Source organism: Homo sapiens, chromosome 9 (genome assembly GCF_000001405.40).
Source record: "Homo sapiens chromosome 9, GRCh38.p14 Primary Assembly".
NCBI lineage: Eukaryota > Metazoa > Chordata > Mammalia > Primates > Hominidae > Homo > Homo sapiens.
Genome location: NC_000009.12, coordinates 79,586,844 through 79,607,760, shown reverse-complemented (window position 1 = coordinate 79,607,760; position 20,917 = coordinate 79,586,844). Strand labels below are relative to the sequence as shown.

The 20,917-nt window shown below is 40.0% G+C and overlaps 1 protein-coding gene across 50 annotated transcripts in view; it reads right to left on the bottom strand.

Moving 5' to 3' along the window:
- Positions 1-20,917, bottom strand: part of TLE4 (TLE family member 4, transcriptional corepressor) — a 154,918-nt gene that overhangs the window by 119,122 nt on the left and 14,879 nt on the right. Inside the window, exon 5 of one of the 50 annotated variants that reach the window (NM_001282760.2) lies at positions 6,252-6,346. The exons of the other annotated variants lie outside the window; for them this stretch is intronic. The gene's annotated coding sequence lies outside the window, so the exon portion shown is untranslated. The remainder of the gene's footprint in view (positions 1-6,251; positions 6,347-20,917) is intronic. 50 annotated transcript variants of the gene reach the window in all.

The window sequence follows — 20,917 nt, the reverse complement described above, 5'->3', positions numbered from 1 at the left end:
ATGGTACTGGTACCAAAACAGAGATATAGACCAATGGAACAGCACAGAGGCCTCAGAAATAACACCACACACCTATAACCAACCATCTGACCTTTGACAAACCTGACAAAAACAAGCAATGGGGAAAGGATTCCCCATTTAATAAATGGTGCTGGGAAAACTGGATAGCCATATGTAGAAAGCTGAAACTGGATCCCTTCCTTACACCTTACATAAAAATTAACTCAAGATGGATGAAAGACTTAAGTGTAAGACCTAACACCATAAAAACCTCAGAAGAAAACCTAGGCAATACCATTCAGAACACTGGCATGGGCAAAGACTTCATGACTAAAACACCAAAAGCAATGGCAACAGAAGCCAAAATTGACAAATGGGATCTAATTAAACTAAAGAGCTTCTACACGGCAAAAGAAACTACCATCAGAGTGAACAGGCAACCTACAGAATGGGAGAAAATTTTTGCAATCTACCCACCTGACAAAAGGCTAATATCCAGAATCTACAAAGAACTTAAACAAATTTACAAGAAAAAAACAAACAACCCCATCAAAAAGTGGGCAAAGGATATGAACAGACACTTCGCAAAAGAAGACATTTATGCAGTCAACAGACATATGAAAAAATGCTCATCACTGGTCATCAGAGAAATGCAAATCAAAACCACAATGAGATACCATCTCACACCAGTTAGAGTGGGGATCATTAAAAAGTCAGGAAACAACAGGTGCTGGAGATGATGTGGAGAAATAGGAAGGCTTTTACACTGTGTGGGAGTGTAAATTAGTTCAACCATTGTGGAGGACAGTGTGGCGAGTCCTCAAGGATCTAGAGCTGGAAATACCACTTGACCCAGTGATCCCATTACTGGGTATATACCCAAAGGATTATAAATCATGCTACTATAAAGACACATGCACACATATGTTTACTGCAGCACTATTCACAGTAGCAAAGACTTGGGACCAATCCAAATGTCCATCAATGATAGACTGGATTAAGAAAATGTGGTACATATACACCATGGAATACTATGCAGCCATAAAAAAAGACGAGTTCATGTCCTTTGCAGAGACATGGTTGAAGCTGGAAATCATCATTCTAAGCAAACTATCACAAGGACAGAAAACCAGACACCACATGTTCTCACTCATAGGTGGGAACTGAACAATGAGAACACATGGACACAGGGCAGGGAACATTACACATCAGGGCCTGTTGGGGAGTGGGGGACTGGGGGAGGGATAGCATTAGGAGAAATACCTAATGTAAATGACGAGTTGATGGCTGCAGCAAACCACATGGCACATATATACCTATGTAACAAACCTGCACGTTGTGCACATGCACCCTAGAACTTAAAAAGTATTTAAAAAAAAAAAAAAAACACACACACACTAATCTTAGGTATTCTTAAAAAAAAAAAAAAGCCTGACTGGAATAAAGCTTAAAGATTTAGACCAAAGGTATCGTCAGTATAGCTAGCAAGTTGGTAAACCACATGCCTAAGCTTTATTTCAGTTCAAGTGCTTGTTAAAAAAAAAAAAAAAAAAAAAAAAAAAAAAAAAAAAAACAACTACTACTGCTTAATAAAGCAATAAAACAAAGTTGATAACATTATAAGAATCGAATTAGTAGGCCATCTATCAGGTTCCTAAAGGACTGATTAAAACTAAGACTTGCTGTTTTTAAAAGCTCTGCCCATCCTACTTACTCCAGTGAGAAAAGGATACTGTCTATAACAGAGTAGTTAATTTGTATCATCTTAAACAATGTGAAAGTGTCAATATTGAATCTCTTTTCACAACCCCCATACCTCCCTTCCACTGCTTCCCCCAGGGAGTTTAACCAAAGCAATGATTCTACTAATGATGATACCACAAGCAATGTCAACTTGGTTTGTGTTTTGAACTCATATTTATGCTATTTTACTGCATGTTAAGTGTGCTTTAAAGTACCCAATGTGCGGCTCAGTTAACTGGATATTCTCAAGTGTCCCATTTATTTGTCCTAACAAGATACATGGGGCTACTGTTTGTGGTGCTCATGTGGGAATAAGCAGAACAAAGTCCTTCTTGAAGAGAATCACGGTATACCCACATTTCATGGTACTATTCCAGTCTATCCCCAGAGCTCAAGCTATATTTTACTGAAGCATTTTTACAATGGTTAAAGAAAAAAAAGAGCACCCTCTTTTTCCTCCTACCATGTGAGCTCTCTAGAGGTATATCTTTAAGAGAAATCCTAGATAGGTGCCTATTCGCCTACATGCATATTCTGGGCTCTAGTTATTGTGTTTAAATACTGCTCCAATGTTAACAGTGATCGAGAGAGATAAATTATCAAGGTTGAGAATGACGATCATTGTGCCAGACATCCAGTTACTTGTACAAGGTCAAATCATTTCAGTTCTCAAGTCTAGAAAACACTGTAACCAATGTTACCACGGTTATACTCAGTTCTACCAGAGGGGAGAGGCAGGGAAAATAGAAAGGAAGGATGGGAGGGAAAAGTGGGATGTCAGAAGGAGCAGAGAAAGAAAATTACTTTCTCTAGAGAGCTTACTTTCAGCCTGCACAGAACAAGGTGGAACCGGTCAGAGAACCTGATTACTCTGATTACTAAGACATCCAAGTTCTACCAATAGCTCTTTCCTCAGCCAGTGTGTCAGAGCAAGCCTTGCCAGCTGCCTGCTTTACATTTTATTTCTCTTCTCTCTCCCTCCCCTCCTCTTCTTCCTCCTCCTCCTTCTCTCTCTCACACACCTTCCTCTTTCCTACTGACATAAATAAATGTTTGGTTGTCTTTGAATGCTGATTTACAATTAAGCTTTTCCATACTTAGCCACAGTAGAGGGAAGAAGATACTCCTTGTTCCCAGAGTAAACGGAGATTATTCATCTTGATTTTTCCCAACATATATGTATGATCAAAATGATGTGAGAAATACCTAAAGACAAAGGAATTTTGGATACAGGAATAAAACAAAACAAAACAGACTAATCGTCCTTACTCAGTTCTCATCAAGGATGCCTACCTTCAGGGAAACAAGCCACCTTTTATACAGAGAGCCATGCTCTATTTTTTGGTCTTTCCTCTCAGGCGAGGCTAAAGCTTCCTTGTCTGTTTACTTCTTTTCTCTGTTTTTCAGGAAATCTCCATCTATCCTGCATTTCTCAGTATTTTCTTTCCTCTTCTTCCAATTCCAGCATATGGCCTCTAGTGGTTTCTTCTCCCTCCTCCCAATTATATAAAATTCCAATTCTTTGAAGCTGTCATTACCAAAACATCCTTACAATCCCTTTGATTGTTTTCTCACTATGAGTAGCTGCTCTTATCAAAACCCAAGTTTTGGCCTTTTCCTGTTTACTGAGATACCACTCTGCCATTACACTTCCACCACACTTTCAGGTGCAGGCACAGTCAGCAAGTGAATAAATGGGCCCTGGCCTGGCTAGAGCAGAGGGCATAGCAAGGAACAAGGAGACAGTCCCTCTTCCTAGCATTTGCACTTGCTGTTCCCTCTACCTGGAACCACCTTCCCCAGATCTTCCCATGGCTCATCTCCACCCATCATTTAAGTCTCAGCCCACAGGACACTCCCTCTGATGCTTTCACTTACCATCCTCAATTACTCGTCCTCCTCCCACTCTCTGGCCATTATAGTTTTGTCTTCTCGTGACAGCATCTGTAATCATCTGAAATTATCTCATATATATTTTTGTTTACATGGACTAGACTAGTGCTTCTCAAACTGTAATGCACATACTAATCACCTGGAAATGTTAAAATCCAAATTGGAAAAGGGCCTCAGAGTCTATACTTCCAACAAATTTTAAGGTGATGCTGAAAATGCTGGTCCACAGACCAGACCCCTAGTAGTAAGGTTCTAGAGAATGTAGGCTCCATGGCAGATAGCTTTGTCTTATAGCCCCAGTGGCTGGTATGTCAAAGACACTCAATACGCTTTTGTTGAATAAATAGAAGAAACTACAGTTTAGGTGGTTAGAATCTCATGAATTCTTTTGCAGGCACGCTACAATTGTTTGGGAATACAGGCATACACAAGAGATACTGTGGGTTCAGTTCCAGACCACAACAATAAAGTGAATGCTACAATAAAGCGAGTCACACAAATTTTTTGGTTTCCCAGTACATGTGTGTACTACAGTATAGTACAAACATAAAAGTTATGTTTGTACTATAGTTTAAGTGTGAAGTAGCATTATGTCTTAAAAAAAACACACACACAATACACCATAATTTAAAAATACTTTATTGCTAGAAAATGTTAACCATTATCTGAGCTTTCAGTGAGCCATGATCTTTTTGCTGACAGAGGGTTTTGGCTCAATACTGATGGCTAATCAGGGTGGTGGTTGCTGAAAGTTGGAGGGCTATGACATTTTCTCAAAAACAGACAATAATTAAGCTTGTTAGCACTGGGGGTCTTTTCCTTCCCAAAGAACTTCTCTGTAGTATGTGATGCTGTTTGACAGCATTTTACTCACAGAATTTCTTTGAAATTTCAGAGGAGTCAATCCTCTCAAACTCTGCCACTGCTTTATCAACTAAGTTGATGTAATATTCAAATTCTTTGTGGTCATTTCAACAGTGTTCACAGCATCTTCACCAGAAGTATATTCCATCTCAAGAAACTACTTTCTTTGCTCATCCATAAGCAGCAACTCCTCATCCATTCAAGTTTTATCATGAGATTGCAGCAATTCAGTCACATCTTCAAGGTCCACCCCCAAAGAACATCCTCAGGGTCTTGAACCCCTCCAAAGGCATCCATGAGGGTTGGAATCAACTTCTTCCAAATTCTTATTAATGTTGGTATTTTGACCTCCTCCCATGAACCACAAATGTTCTTAACGGCATCTAGAATGGCTAATCCTTTCCAGAAGGTTTTCAATTTACCTTGCTCAGATTCACCAGAAGAATCATTATCTATGGCAGCTACAGCCTTACAAAATGTATTTCTTAAATAGTAAATCTTAAAAGTTGAAATTACTCCTTGATCCACGGGCTACAGAATTATTAGCAGGCATGAAAACATTATCTCCTTGTACATCTCCATCAGAGCTCTTGGGTGACTAGGTACACCATTAATAGGCAGTAATATTTTGAAAGAAATCTTTTTTTCTGAGCAGTAGGTCTCAACAATGGGATTAAAATATTCAGTAAACCATGCTATAAACAGCTGTGCTGTCACCCAGGCTTTGTAGTTCCATTTATAGAACACAGGCAGGGTAGATTTAGCATAATTCTTAGAGGCGCTAGGATTTTTGGAATGATAAATGAGCATTGGCTTCAAGTTAAAGTCACCAGCTGCATTAGTCACATAACAAGGGAGTCTGTCTGTCCTTTGAAGATTTGAGGCCAGTCACTGACATCTCTTCTCTAGCTATGAAAGTCCTAGATGGCATCTTCTTCCAATAGAAGGCTGTCTTATCCACACTGCAAATCTGTTGTTTGGTGTAGCCACCTTCATCAATGATCTTAGCTAGATCTTCTAGATAACTTGCTGCAGATTCCACATCAGTACTTGCCGCTTCACTTTGTACTTTCACATTATGGAGATGGTTTCTTTCATTAAACTTAATGAACCAACCTCTGCTAGCTTCAAACCTTTCTTCTGCAGCTTTCTCATCTCTCTCAGCCTTCATAGAATTGAAGAGAGTGAGGGGTTTTGCTCTGGATTAGGCTTTGGCTTAAGGGAATATTATGGCTGGTTTGAGCTTCTATCCAGACCACTAAAACTATCCCTATTTCAGCAATAAGGCTGTTTCATTTTCTTACCACTGGAGTAGCACTTTTAATTTCCTTTAACTTCTTTTTACTTGCATTTATAACTTGGCTGTTGGGCACAACGCACCTAGCTTTTGGCTCATTGGCTTTCGACATGCCTTCCACTCTAAGGTTAATCATTTCTAGATTTTGATTTAAAGTGAGAGATGTGAGACTCTTCCTCTCATTTGTACACTTAGAGGCCCTCCCGTGTAGGGTTATTAATTGGCCTAATTTCAATACTGTTGTCTCAGAGAATGGGGAAGCCTGAGGAGAGGGAAAGAAGGGGGAATAGCATGAAGCAGTCAGAACACACACATTAATTAAGTTTGCTGTCTGATGGGGGCACAGTTCACGGCACTCTAAAACTATTACAATAGTAACATCAAAGATCACTAACCACAAATCATGTAACAGATAAAGTAATAATAAGAAAGTTTGAAACATTGTGAGAGTTACCAAAATGTGACACAGAGACACGAAGTGAGCACAGGCTATTGGAAGAACAGCTCCATTCAGGGTTGCTACAGCCTTCAATTTGTGAAAAACAGTCTCTGTGAAGCACAATAAAGCAAGACCCAGTAAAACAAGGTATGCCTGTAGCTAAAGCACATTAATATATCAACCATAAAGGAATATCTATCCAGAAAACTTGCTTAAATTCTGATATGGTTTATTTAGTTTCCCATCACACATCTTTTCTGGCATTTAGGATACCATGCTATTCAAAAGAATAATAAATTATCATAGTGTGCAACAAAAGGAAATGCAAATTCATTCTGGACAATTCCTGATGGGTGAATAAATGATTAAAGCTTCCTATCTGAAACCTTGGCAAAATATGTGTTTTAAAGATTATTTTAAAATATAATAAAGGAAATGCAGCTCAACCTCCTTCTTGAGATTATTTATACCAGATTGCTGATCACCTGACCCACTGGACTGATGGATTTGTTAGAAGCACCCTAGGAGAGCACCTTGTATACAGCGTTCATGAGAAATCTCTATAATGTTATCTCGAGTGAACCAACTTGATGATTTTAATAGCCCAAGGAAAGGGCCTACTCATGCGACGGCATCACTAGGTCCACAGGAAGTAAAAGGTCAGTTCCTGATAATTCAAGGTGTGGTGGTGGAGCTCAGGAATTATACACACTACAATGTGTAGACGAGTTCGTGCTTATTAACCCTGCTCAAAACAACACAGTTAGAGCCAGGCTTGGGGAGCCATGGGCACAGCTGCAGCATGAGGACCCCTAGAGAGAACAGGCTATTCAAATCCCTTCTGAACAAGGTCCAAGAGTTGCTGCAGCATCACGTGTTGAGCAGCAGGCAACCGAACTTGGGATTCCACATACGGATTCTGATACACAAACTGCCTCCCCACTGTCCCTGACAAACCTGTCTGAATACTCTCACACTGTAGGAGGGTTTTAATTATTAGGAAGTTTTTACTGAAATTAATTCCTTGTCTGTTTTTGTGTGTTTTTGTTGTTGGGGTGGTGTACTGCACACAAAGTCCACTACCATTCACTGATTCCTCACTCAAGTTCCTTCAATGGCTGGGGGAAGCCACCCGAGACAGGCTGAGAAATCAGAAAAAACAAGTCCCCAACCACAAACTGAAAACTCTCTATAATCAGAAAAATAACAGCATTTTCCCTATAATCAGGCTCACATCCACTTTTGTTTGTTTTCTTCTTTTTTAATACTTGACTAGGCAGGTTGAGAAAATTAAAGGTAAAGCAAACTATTGTGTTCCTATATTCCTAGTTACTTTTAAAATGTACTTCAGGTTGCTTTTAAATTAAATTCTGTAGGCAATTTAAAATATTTAAACAAATGCACCTTAGAAAAAGCCTAAACCACGAATGCATTACTGCCCGTGTATTTTTGCCCATTCAACAAATACTTATTAAATATCTACTTACTATTTGTCAGGACTATTGTAGATGCTGAATGAAGACAGAGGGGTGAACAAGACAAGTAAATCCCTGCGGTCATGGAGCTCACATCATAGGTGGAGGGAGACAGAAGCAAACATACAAGTATATAAAGAGGAATTTCAGATACTGAGAAGTGCTATGAAGACAAAATTGGGGGTGTAAGAGAGAGCCCTGGGGCAGGAGGTGGGTCTGATTTGGATGACATGATCAGGGAAGGACAAAAAAAGAAGTGACTCAAAAGTTGAGAAGTGGCTAAAAACATTTTCTATACCACATGTTGCAGATGTTATTAACAAGTATTATATACATAAAAGTGTCTCTTATCAGACGACCTCACACACTATGAAGAAAGTTAAACAGTTTTCTTTACTGTTGGGTATCTTAGAGCCTTTCATTTGATAGTGTTCGTTGTACATCTTTGGAAAGGAGCACATTAAAAGCAATTACTACTCAAGCTTCTTTGACTTTGGGACCCTTTCTCGTCAAAATTCGGAGAGGAGATGATATTCCGTGGGAAACACTGAGCTTGTCAGTAGTTTCTAGCCCTGGCCTTACATCAGCATTACTAGTGGACCTTTCACAAACACCCACACCCAGGCCTCACTCCAGACGAATTAACTCACAATCTCCAAAGACAGGACCCTGGCTTCAGTTTTTAAAGCTCCCCAGGTGAATCTAATGTGCAGGCAGGATTGAAAACCATTAAGCTAGAGCACAGGATGCATGCAATAAAAAATAGAGTGGAAAATAAGGACAGAAGAGGTTCACTGGGGTCAGACTATGGAAGGTCTTGAATGCCACACTAAGGGGTTTGAACTTTATTTAGAAGGCAGTAAGGGCCCATCAAGGTCAATTCCTAGGAAAGTTATGATAAGTACCAGACAGGTCAAGACACCACAGTGCATTTCTGTCCTCCATCCTCCTCTTGGCACTGATTATATTTAATGTTGTGGACGGAAAGAAGAGATTTATAACCACAAAACATACCACAAGAGGAAAGATGGAGGATGAAAGATAATTTCAGAATAGGAACAAAATGAATTTCCAAAGCACCTCAGACTTAGGAAATTCAACAAGATGTTTTCAGTTACTGGCTCCTACTCTAAACTAGAAGCTCTGGTAGAAACAGCAGTTCTGAATGCAAAACTGATCTGAACTCGAGGTGTTTATAATCTGGGGGGGGAAGATCAAATATAAATAAACACAATAACAAACGCCATGTGTTAAGTGCCCTAGCTACTACACAGAGGAGCCCTGGAAATCTAAGAGTGAGGAGGGGAAGAAAACCCTTCTGGCTTTGGGGAGAGAGTAATGTGAGCCATATTAATTTCATAACTTTCGATTATTGTCTGCTACTCTGCCATATACTGCATTATAGTCTGAAAAAAACAGTACAGGAACAAGATAGGACTTACAGAGTCCATAATCTAGCAAATGAGACAGACATTGAAACAAATACAGAATGCAGGGTATTTTTAAATGCTTTTTAGAGGACTATTTCCCTGAGTAACTGAGGGTAAAATGAGTCTGACACACAAAGGAGAAAGGGGCAGAGAAAAGGGTAAGACCATTCCCAGCAAAGCCTGCCATACCAGCATGGGACACTGACGTTCAAATAAAAAAGTGAAAGGGTAGTATCAGCACAAGGTGAAGGTGGAGAAGTAGATCCAAAAGAACCTAGTGGACCAGAATTATCACTATCCAGGACATACCAGTTAGGAGGCTATTGCATTACTCGTAGTGAGTCTTTTTTTTTTTTCTTTTTTTTTTTTTTGAGACGGAGTCTTGCTCTGTCACCCAGGCTGGAGTGCAGTGGCACGATCTCAGCTCACAGCAACCTCCGCCCCCTGGGTTCAAGCAATTCTCTTGCCTCAGCCTCCCGAGCAGCTGAGATTACAGGCACATGCCACCACGCCTGGGTAAGTTTTTTTTTTTTTTTTTTTTTTTCTTTTTCAGTAGAGACAGGGTTTCACCGTGTTAGCCAGGATAGTCTCGATCTCCTGACCTCGTGATCCGCCTGCCTCAGCCTCCCAAAATGCTGGGATTACAGGCGTGAGCCACCACGCCAGGCCAGTGAGTCCTTTTAAATATGGTGGCCAAGGGTGTTCACCATCCTAACATTCATGGAACGCTTGCTCTGTGCCAGATATTTCACTTAATGTTCAGAACAATTTTAAGAGGATTACTCTCGTCCCCATTTTACAGATAAAGCCAAAGAATCATACAGTGGTTAATTTACCATGATCATATAGCTGGAGAAAAGTAAACAAATGCAAGAGTAACTGGGAGTTGATACCAGAAGACCTCATGTTTGACTGGGTGTGGCTAATGAATAAGAGGGAAGGACAATAATCAGCTGCCTCTATGGGTTTCTGGCTTGAGAAATTGGGTGGATGGTGGTGGCATTTCCTCAGATAGGAATCACTAAGCAGGCTTGTGGGGGGACTATGTCATTTTGGGACCTGTTGAGTTTAAGTATCTATGAGACATTCAAGGCAAATGAGGACATACAATGGTCTCAGAGGAAGGGTCTGGGCTAGTAGAAAAAAAACCCTGAGATTCATCTACTCAGAGTGAATAAAATTACCTAAATAAAAGGGCAAAGTAAGCAGAGAAGAGGACAGAGCCATATTGGAAATACTGGTAGGATTTTCCAAGGTCAGAGAAGGGACCCTAAAAAATGACCCAACACCAAAAGGTAGATATAAAAGTAGACCGGGAGGTCCAGCAAGCCCAGATAAGAGAACAGAGAAGGCAAAGGCTGCAGACAAAAAGCCTGGAGACCACCATAGCCTCTAGTATGACAACAAGGTCTGATGGTCAGTGATGGTGACCGTGGTGAGAGCAAGGAAAGGAGGCAGGCTGCACATGGAGAACTAGCAGACTATGTGGCTTCACTAGATTAGACAACCAGGGGAGTACGGAATCAATGATTCCAGTGTGTAAAACCTGGATGATATGGTGCTTCCTACCATTCATTAAAATAGGGAAATCACAGGCTCGTGTCAAGATTTGGTTAGGGGACAATTATGGAAAGGCATGGGAAGAATTCAGAATCAAGTGACAAAACATTCTGAAAAGAACACCAAATATTACGAACTATACAGCTGTGCAGTCCCAAATCCTAGTGTGACTCTAATTTCTAGACTAGCTAAACCATGACTTTAATAAGCAAACTCCAAAATGATTCTGGACTCCATTTCTATAATCATGAAATGGGAAGAATGGCTGCCCCATATCTGGCTGACAGAAATATTTATGAGGGTAGGCTTACGAATAAAATCCCTTAAGGTAAGTAGTTCTGTTTTAAGACAGAACTGAGATTAGATAGTGCTACAAATTGAGTGGCTGTATTGTTAGGTATCGATTCAAGCTTAGGGCTCTTTCTGTCTCTCAATTAAGAAAGCATCCCTTACTAATTTATACTACACAGGGGAAGGGCTGCAAGGACCATGAGGTGGCTAGGGAACAGATCTAAAGTGGGATGGGGATGCCAGACTCACTGGTACAGTGGCAGAAGACAAGTGCCTCCTCACTGATTGGAAGGAGTGAGCTCACAGGCCTAGCCCCAGAAAATTTGCTGTTTTTCTACTTTTCTTGCACTTTTACCCAGAAAAGACATTCTCAGTATTTATGTTTTGCTACTGGTGAAGGATCTCCCTTCCTCTTTTCTTGGTGAACAGATACTTGCCCTAGATGCAGTGAATTTTATATATAGTAGTAAAGTATAAAGAATATCATCAGGCAGGAGGAGGCGAGGCAGGCTTAATTTTAAAGCTTCTCAGACAATAACATGGTCCTGAAATTTAAGACTACAGAATAAAAATTCTTTGTGACTTACAGAGGTATGTTCTCTTCGATTAAGTAGATACTAAACGGCCGGGCGCGGTTCCTCACGCCTGTAATCCCAGCACTTTGGGAGGCCAGGGCGGGCGGATCACGAGGTCAGGAGATCGAGACCATCCTGGCTAACACGGTGAAACCCTGTCTCTACTAAAAATACAAAAAAATAGCATGGCGTGGTGGTGGGCGCCTGTAGTCCCAGCTACTTGGGAGGCTGAAGCAGGAGAATGGTGTGAACCCGGGAGGCAGAGCCTGCAGTGAGCTGAGATCGTGCCACTGCACTCCAGCCTGGGTGACAGCAAGACTCCGTCTCAAAAAAAAAAAAAAAAAGTAGATGGCAAAAAATGAAAAACAAAAATTCTCTCAGATAATTTAGAAGCACTCAGAAGAATTTAAACAAGTTTTGCATTAACCAAAGCACAAACTGCAGTGCTTCTTACAGCTTCTGTAAGAAGCTACTACTTGTGAACCTGTGTTAACTGCCTTGGACTTAACTATGCTACATACGTCCAGACCACCTTGAATTTGATTCTTATCTTTAACCTAACTTGCCTTTAAATTTACTTTTTTATTTTTTAGGCTACATTTTATGAACTTCTACTTTGGTCTATTCTTAAATTATAAAATAACCTGATACAACTTTTGACCGATTAAGTATTCTAAAGCAGAAAGTAGCTAGTTCCCACATTGTTACCGATCAGCAAAAAGATAACGGTTAACTACGTTTAGTTCAATGGAGTTTTTTGTTTTGTTTTTTAAAAATAAAGACATTCTCTATGAAGAAAACAGTGAGTTAATTTTTGCACAAGTAACAAGTACCTTATCTCATTCACCCATCTTTAAGAAATAGTTCACAGACCTGCACCAGTCCATGGACCACTCTCTGAGTGTCACTGCTCCGAAGCAACATTCCCCAATCGCAAACTATAATTTCTTATTGCCTTAGACTTTAGGTGATAGGTATGTTCTTCCAAGGTAACCAAATTCTCCAACACAGCCCTAAGAAATGGAGCATTCCTTAATCTCTTCCCTGGTTTACTTACAGAACCCAAGTGTCTACAGTTGCAAAAACTACTTAAGGGTGGGTGAAGGCTTAGAATATCAGCTCTCCAGACACTACCATTCAGGGGTCTTTCTACTGGGTCATGATGCCTGCCAATGTGAGATTGAGCTGCAGCAAACAAAAATAAAGAACCACAAACTATAAATAGTATTTTCTTATTTCTAAAAACAATTGCCAAGTGATATGGTTAAAGTACAGAGTTAAAAAATGTTACAGCTTAAGTATGTTTGAGCTTTAAGTTGGAGTTTTGCTCCCTTAAACTTACGCTTAATAAATTTTCTGCAGAGAATGTACATGCATGAGAACAAAATTAAAACAAAATGCACTTCATGATTCTTTTTGCCCATTTACCCCAAAATACAAGAGGTCAATATGGGGAGGGTACCTGTTGAAGAGAGGAAAGGTGACAATACAAAAGCCTAAGTATCTGTCGGAGTGGAGTGAACGAAGAAGAAAGAAATGAAAACCCTCTTCTCTACAGCAAATATAACAACCCACCAGCCACCAGCTAGAGCTGTCAGGCTGTCTAAAGCAAGGTACTATTAAAATGACTTCAATATGAGGAATTGTTTCAAAGATGCATGAATCTCCCAAAAAAAAAAATACAAAACAAAAACAAAAATAAAGATGCATGAGTCTGGATGGAGCTTAAGCAAAGAGAGGTTGTGCAGATAATAAGATAATACACTATCAATCTTAACATACTAAATGTGAGATCTCATTCAAGCAGCACACAGACTTCATGAACTATATAAACTATACCATGGAGATACAATGTAGAAATGGAAGACATTTTGGAGATGTTTTGGCTCCTTGCTACTCAAAATGTGGTCAGTGGACCAGCAGTATCAGTATCACCTGATCTTTTTGTTAGAAATGGAGAGTATCATGCACCAACCCAGACCTACAGAAACAGAATCTGATTTCAGTGATTTGTATGCACATTGAATTTTGAGCAGCACTGCTCTAGTTCGCTGGTCCTCAACCTTGCTGTACATCAAAATCACCTCTGTAGCTTTTAGAAAAATACTGATGCCTAAGGCCCAGATCAGGGGCCTGGGAACCAACATGTTATAAAAAGTAAAAATCCAGTCCTAGACCCTTGTTTTATGGATGAGGAACTGAGACTCAGAAAAGTTAAATAATTTACCAATGTCACAGGAAGTTACTGGCTGAATTAGGACTAGATTTTTAAAAATATTTAGGATCGTATTGCCTATAAGGAGTTGAAGAAACTGTAAAGTTACCAATAAGTCAATAATAATTTTAAAGATCTGAGGTTTCATTGTATCATTAATTTTTTGTGGTATGTATTTTATGTATCACCCTTTGAACCTAGACTAGAAAAGTATTTTTTCATTTGGGTGACATGATCTCCATCAGACACAGCATATATGATGGAGACACAGGGATGCCTCTGCCTGGTCAGCAGTTAAGGCACAACTGTAGGAACATGAGTGAGTTTCTTTCTTTTGCTTTCTAAAATTCACTGAATATTGTTTAATTTTCTTTAATATTATGTTTTTAGCAAAAATACAAAGCACTTCAAACCCATCTTTTAAAGGCCTCAATCTAACTTAGACTGAAAAGTCCATGAACAAGGACAATCACTGTGTTCTGACTGTTTAGAGTTTCCAAGAGTGTAGAACTGATAATTAGCACACCAAGAAAGAAACTTTTGCCACAAGTGCTGACCCTTTTGCTTGCTGATGATTATGTCATTAGATTCAAATTGCCTATAAATTAGTACTAGATACATGGGTGTGTGGTAGGAGGTGTGGGTGGAATGAAGGAAATTAAAAGCTGCGGTCAGACTTGAAAAAAACATCCCATAAAGCAACGTATGTTTCTGACAGTTGAAACAGACTGCATGACAGACAGCAAAACCACATTTCGGTTTTCGTTTTTTTTTGGAATGGATCTGTGGCTTTATGCCACCAAGCAATATTTTGGTTTACCAAAAATGTACTCTATGGCCTTTTTAATTTCATCTTAACTTTCCTTACTATCACTGCTGTTCTCATTCAACCAAGGCAGCTTAAGACAAGTGTCTAAAAGGGGTAAAGGTTGAAAATACAGAATATGCCTCACATTAGGGAGAAAAAAAGAAGAAAATTAACCACACACAAATAATTCACATTGACTAAAGCATCTATTGTAATTTCAGTGTTTAGCTCATCAGGGACATAATGAACAATGGGAATAATTATTTCTTTTGAAACACAGTAGTTGCCCAAGACAATTATTGACTCAGCCTTATGTCTACATGAAATTTCTCAACTTAAAAAGGATACACAATCACTGATATCCAGAGTTGTTGGCCAAGTCATACAAGAAATAAAAAATGGAAGAAAAGAATGACTGCAACAAAGAGTTTCAATGATAGAAGAATAATTTTGAGTATTCTGTACCTACTTCTAATGTTAAAAATCCTTTACAGACGAAAAAGTTAAAAATCAATTGAATTTACAAATTCCACTATGTCTATATAAAGGTAATGGCAGTAACCGAGCAAAATGACAGAAACTATCTCTGGCTGGGCACAGTGGCTCACCCCTGTGATCCCAGCACTTTGCACTTTGGAAGGATGAGGTGGGCGTGTGGCTTGAGCTCAGAAGTTTGAGATTAGCCTGGGCAACAAGGCGAAACACAGTCTGTACCAAAAAATACAAAAATTGCCGGGTGTGGTGATAAGCACCTTTAGTCCCAGCTATTCAGGAGGCTGAGGTGGGAGGATCACTCGAGCCCAGGAGGCTGAGGCTGCAGTGAGCCATGATCACGCCACTGCACTCCAGCCTGGGCATCAGAGTGAGACCCTGCCTCCAAAAAAAAAAAAAAAAAGAAGAAGAAGAAGAAAGAAGAAAGAAGAAGAAGCAGAAGGAAGAAGAAGAAGAAGAAGAGGAAGAAGAAGAAGAAGAAGAAGAAGAAGAAGAGGAAGAGGAAGAGGAAGAAGAAGAAGAAGAAGAAAGAAGAAAGAAGAAAGAAGAAGAAAGAAGAAAGAAGAAAGAAGAAGAAGAAGAAGAAACTCTCTTCCACACTCCTACAAACGTCAAATAGTTCCTAAAACACATGCCCACAAAAGGCTGCCTGGCAAAGTCCACTGTGGTATACAGAAGATGTGGAAAGAATCCTTGAGGTTCTTGGAAGGATTATAAATTTGGCAGGAGAGATGAAAGTAAGGTGATGAACGAAAGCAAAAGAAGCAACAAACTCATTCATTCCCTCCTCCTCTTCCTTCTTTCACTCCCTCCTTCCTAGGTACCACACCTGGCAGCATTATCAACACCAAGTTCTCCCCTTCTAAAGTATCTTTTTCTATCAATGAATGGTACCATGACTCTGTCCCTCTGCAGACATCAATGTCTTAGGGCCTTTCCTCCTATGCATTTCCATACTCCTCACCCAATGAAATGTCAAGTCATAGGGATTCCTCCTTTCCAGTTCTACTTCCCTAGTTCAGACTTCACTTCCTCCACCCTGTCCCTCTCCAGTCACGCCCCTCTCCACTCAAATCGTTTCAACAACATTCACTGACATTTGTTCTCAGGCCTCATGCTAGCTGCTGAACAAATTAGCAAAACAGATATGGTCCCTTGACCAACTACTGATTAATCTCCCCTTTGCTTTCTTTTTATAGCCCAAGCACTACCACCAGCATTCAAGGCCTTCTATAATGCATCCCAAACCTATATTCCCAATTATTCTCTCCTCTACCACTCAATAAAGCTGGAAACACTAAACACAGCCTGAATATGCACAGCAGTTTCCAGTCTCTGTGGCTTCCACTTGGAATCCTACCCTTTCCTTTCAACCTGCCTAAGTGCTCCCCATCCTCTGAGGTCTCACTAAACTGTGCCCACCTCCTCCGTAACAGCATCCTTAATCACTCAAGGAGCCAGAAAGACCCCCTTCTCTTCCACCTATGTCACAACTGTGTATCCACTGCACTGCTTTATATTTTTTACAGTGGTCCAAATGAAGTAAAAAGACTAGATTCTCCATGGAGGCAAGCCTCCTACCTTTCCTAACTGCTAGCCCTCAAAGCAACCTGCACATAGTATGAGGTTAATTAACATTAGCTGGATGAAAGAATAAGAGCCTTTGCATTCCCTCTGAGGTGACCAGGACTACTGGCTCTTAACCAAGTAACCCTCCCAATGAAAGAATAAAACAATCTCATGAAGATTAAGTTACTTTTTTCATGTTTAAGTATTTAGGTTATAATCTTCTTAACCTTTATAATAAATCCAGTTCCAGGTATTTCCATTTGAGAAGCTAAATATTTCAGTTTAGAAAGTTAATTTGCACGGTGAGCCTCAAACAGAAAGAAAGTGGCAAAAAAGCATGATTCAAAATGTAAAATCAAGTATCTTAAGAAAGTGGGATTTGTAAATCTAATCTGGGAAGAAGGCATAAATACCACCTCACAAGTGTGCATCCTAAACTGATGCAAAATAACCTAAAAATTATTGCTTAGATTATAAAAAAACCCTCCTATCAGCTCTGCTTACAACTAAAGCAGGTCTTTACTATGAGCCTCCTAGGCTAGCCATATGGAGCCTTTGGAAATGAGCTCCCATATTACAAAAGGAAGGTTTTTGTACATAATGTACTTTGCCTGCCGCAGCCTCTCCTAAATCTGACACCTCTGAAATATAAGGAGAAAACTTACAAGCAGCCTCTCCTAAATCTGACACCTCTGAAATGTAAAGAGAAAACTTACAAGCAAGTAGGGGTGCCAAAGTTTACCTCCCCATGCCCAGAACCTAGAGAAGAGTGGAAGCTTAAGAAGCACACATTGGAATTTTGGGGACACAATTTCTTCATTAAGAAGCCCAAACAAGTGTTTTGTCTTCCCCTAGCTCACCCAAAAAATGTTCAAGCAAACAAGCAGCTACAGAACTGCTATTGTTTTTTCACTAGCCACTTTAGGTTGACTATATTTTGGGGGGGTTAACCAAGCTAGCCAGAGGTAAAACCACATTTCCAAACAGTTCTCTGTCCCCCGCAAAATCAAAAGCCTTTAAAACAGCCACCCACATTCATAGCGCAGCATAGTGAAATTTGTTGGGGGAAAAGAAGTCCAAGTAAAACAGGTTCACTGATCAGCGCCCACACATTCAAAAATAAAAACGAACCCATATTGTGGACTCAGGTTACTTACAAAACTCAAGGTTCCATTTTGTGTATTACAGTGTGATCAGGACATGACAAAGACAAATATAATGTACTTTGCCCTAAAGAGAAAGAGCAGAAGGGCTACTTTGCAATAAGATCTGCCCTAATGCCTCAGTTGGGTAGAATCAGGCCAGAAACGTCACGTTGAATTCTCAGGCAGCCCGGTCTATCATATACATCTTGGTACCAACCAGACTGGTGTCTCAGGAGAATGGTTAAAATGACTGAGAATGCCCAGCATGGACAAAGGAAGGCTAATAAAGGGCAACACTTCTGAAAAACCTAGACAAGGAGTAAGACTAATTCTAGTGACTTCGATGGGGGACAGGACTAATGGGTCTCACATAAAGAAATTTCTGCCAATCCAATACCTCCACTGAAAATGTCTTCTGCCTTGCGCAGTAGTAGCACCACAAAGATCTGGATGTTTTCAGTGGAAATCAAGCTGATTTCCAGTGAGAAGCTGAACTTAAGTGTGAAAAGTCCCTCCCACCGAGAAGGTTTATCACGGTCCCTTCTTTAGGAAAAGGAAGATTACAAAGGATCATGTAATATCTCTATTCAGAACTTAACTACCACCAACCCCACTCTGCTTATCATCATGGGAAAGGGAGGAAAAAACCTGAAAAGGTTAAGTACGTTTAAAGGATTCTCTCAAATTGACTTAACTAGAGAAGCCAGACAATGCTCATACTTGGCCTTTCTCTACTCAAAGAGGTCATTATGCCCCAAACCTATAACTCTCCGGGCCATAAAAAGGCAACAGAATTTAATAGTATTTTCTTCTCTCTGGAGCAGAGTTTCTGAGTGTTGGCACTACTGAAATTCTAGGCCAGCTAAGTCTTTGTTGTAGAGGGCTGTCCTGTACATGCAGATGTTCAGCAGCATCCCAGACTCTACCCACTACATGCCAGTAGCAACTCCAAGTTGTGACAACCCCAAATATCATCACATTGCCAGACATCCTCTGAGGAAAGGAACTGCTCCAGTTTGCAACCACTGCTCTAGCACAGTACCTCCCTAATTCTTTTGTTTGGGTTCCAGTTTCCTCATTGAACCAGTAAGGGCTATGGATTCTGCCCCCACAAAAAAGGTACACAATTATGCATATAAATTCCAGAACTATATAGAACCTTTCAAACCCAGCCAAGAACCTCCATCTCTCCTCCACCCCAGGCAGGCACTCAAAAGTTTACAGTTCCCTGAACATTCCCATGTGACACGTGGTTATAAAAGAAGGTGCCATGCCTGTTTTAGAAATCTCACAGTCAGAGGTACAAAAATATCTAGAGGCCTGTGGTTATCCAGCCACGGACAAACAGTAGAATCTGTGATAAAAGATGAACCAATGAATGAGTCCACTAATCTAGTGTGTTAATTTGCAAAACAAAATACCCAAATGATACCAGCTATTATTTTTAACATTTAAGCTCACTGTGTACAGAACACAGAAGCAGACGATTTGTTTTTTCATTTAGAAAACAAGGATAGGCCGGGCGCGGTGGCTCACACCTGTAATCCCAGCATTTTGGGAGGCCGAGGTGGGTGGGATCACGAGGCCAAGAGATCAAGCCCATCCTGGCCAACATGGTGAAACCCCGTCTCTACTAAAAATACAAAAAAGTTAGCTGCGAGTGGTGGTGTGGGCCTGTAATCCCAGCTACTCAGGAGGCTCAGGCAGGAGAATCACTTGAACCCAGGAGGCGGAGATCACAATGAGCCGAGATCACGCCACCGCACTCCAGCCTGGCAACAGGGCGAGACTCTATCTCAAAACACACACACACACACACACACACACACGCAAGGATAAACAAAGAAGTTTACCATAGTCACTTATGAGACATTTATTGCCAGTGGTTCAAAACCAGAATGTAGGTTCTCAAGCCAGAATGCCTGGCCTTGACACCCCTACTCTGTAACCTACCAGCTATATATAACCCTGGGCAAATTTCTCAGCTTCTCTTTACCTTAGTTTCCTCATACACAATAAGGATAATCAGATCCCTTCCTCAAAAGATTACAAATTAAACAAATTAATACATCTGAAGCATTTAGTGCTTTACCTGGTATCCAGTGGGCACTCGATAAATTTTAACTGCTCTTATTATCACTAACACTTGCCCAAGATATACATATGAAAAATCTGTTAACTATATGTACTTACTGATGTGCTCTTAGCCTATAGAAGGACCAGGAAGATGCAGCTACAACTGCAAAAAAAGCAACACAGCAGATGGTTCTAGGTTGTGAAACACTGGCAATATTAGGATTGTTTTAGCTGTCCACACAATAGCCTAACATTGCTCAAAGTGAGATTCTACAAAAATACAAACACAAAAACAAAAAAAAACCTGGCTGTATTTCCTCTTATAAAAATTATCTTAAAACTTAACTTACTAAAATGGCATGCCTATAGTACCGAGCAATGGAAGTAGGGATGAATTTTATTTTTAAGCTGGTCATTTAAACATCATATGATGTTAAGAGTTGAAAGATATCTTAGAAATAAATCATCTGGCAAAGTATGAATCCAATTCTAAATTTTAAAAATGCCAATCAGCAGCTCAAGGACCTGTAGCAGACTGAGATAAGAACTCCCACTCTCTGATTGCCTATCTAGGCCTTTTTTGCTCAGCATAAAGCCAGGCCCTCCCTAAGCACTCAGAAACGAAGACAGCTTATATAAAGGTGGCTGATACTCAGAATATGTGATGCTACATGAAATGCAATAAAATGAAAAAATTAAACCACTCCTTTAGCTGTTCCATCATTCATTCATTCATTTCTTCTACTATATTCCAGGCATTGTTTTAGGTGCTAGTGGTACCAGCAGTGAACAAAACATATTCTTCTGTAAACAAAAATATAGTCAGAATGAATAAGGTATAGTGTTTGATAGCATAACAGAGTGACTACAGTCAACAATAATTTATTGTACATTTAAAAGTAACTAAAAGAGTATAACTAGAAAGTTTCTAACCCACACAAAAAAAGGGAAATGCTTGAGTTGATGGGTAGTCCATTTACCCGAATGTGATTATTATATGCTATATGCCGGTATCAAAATAGTTCATTTACCCCATAAATACATA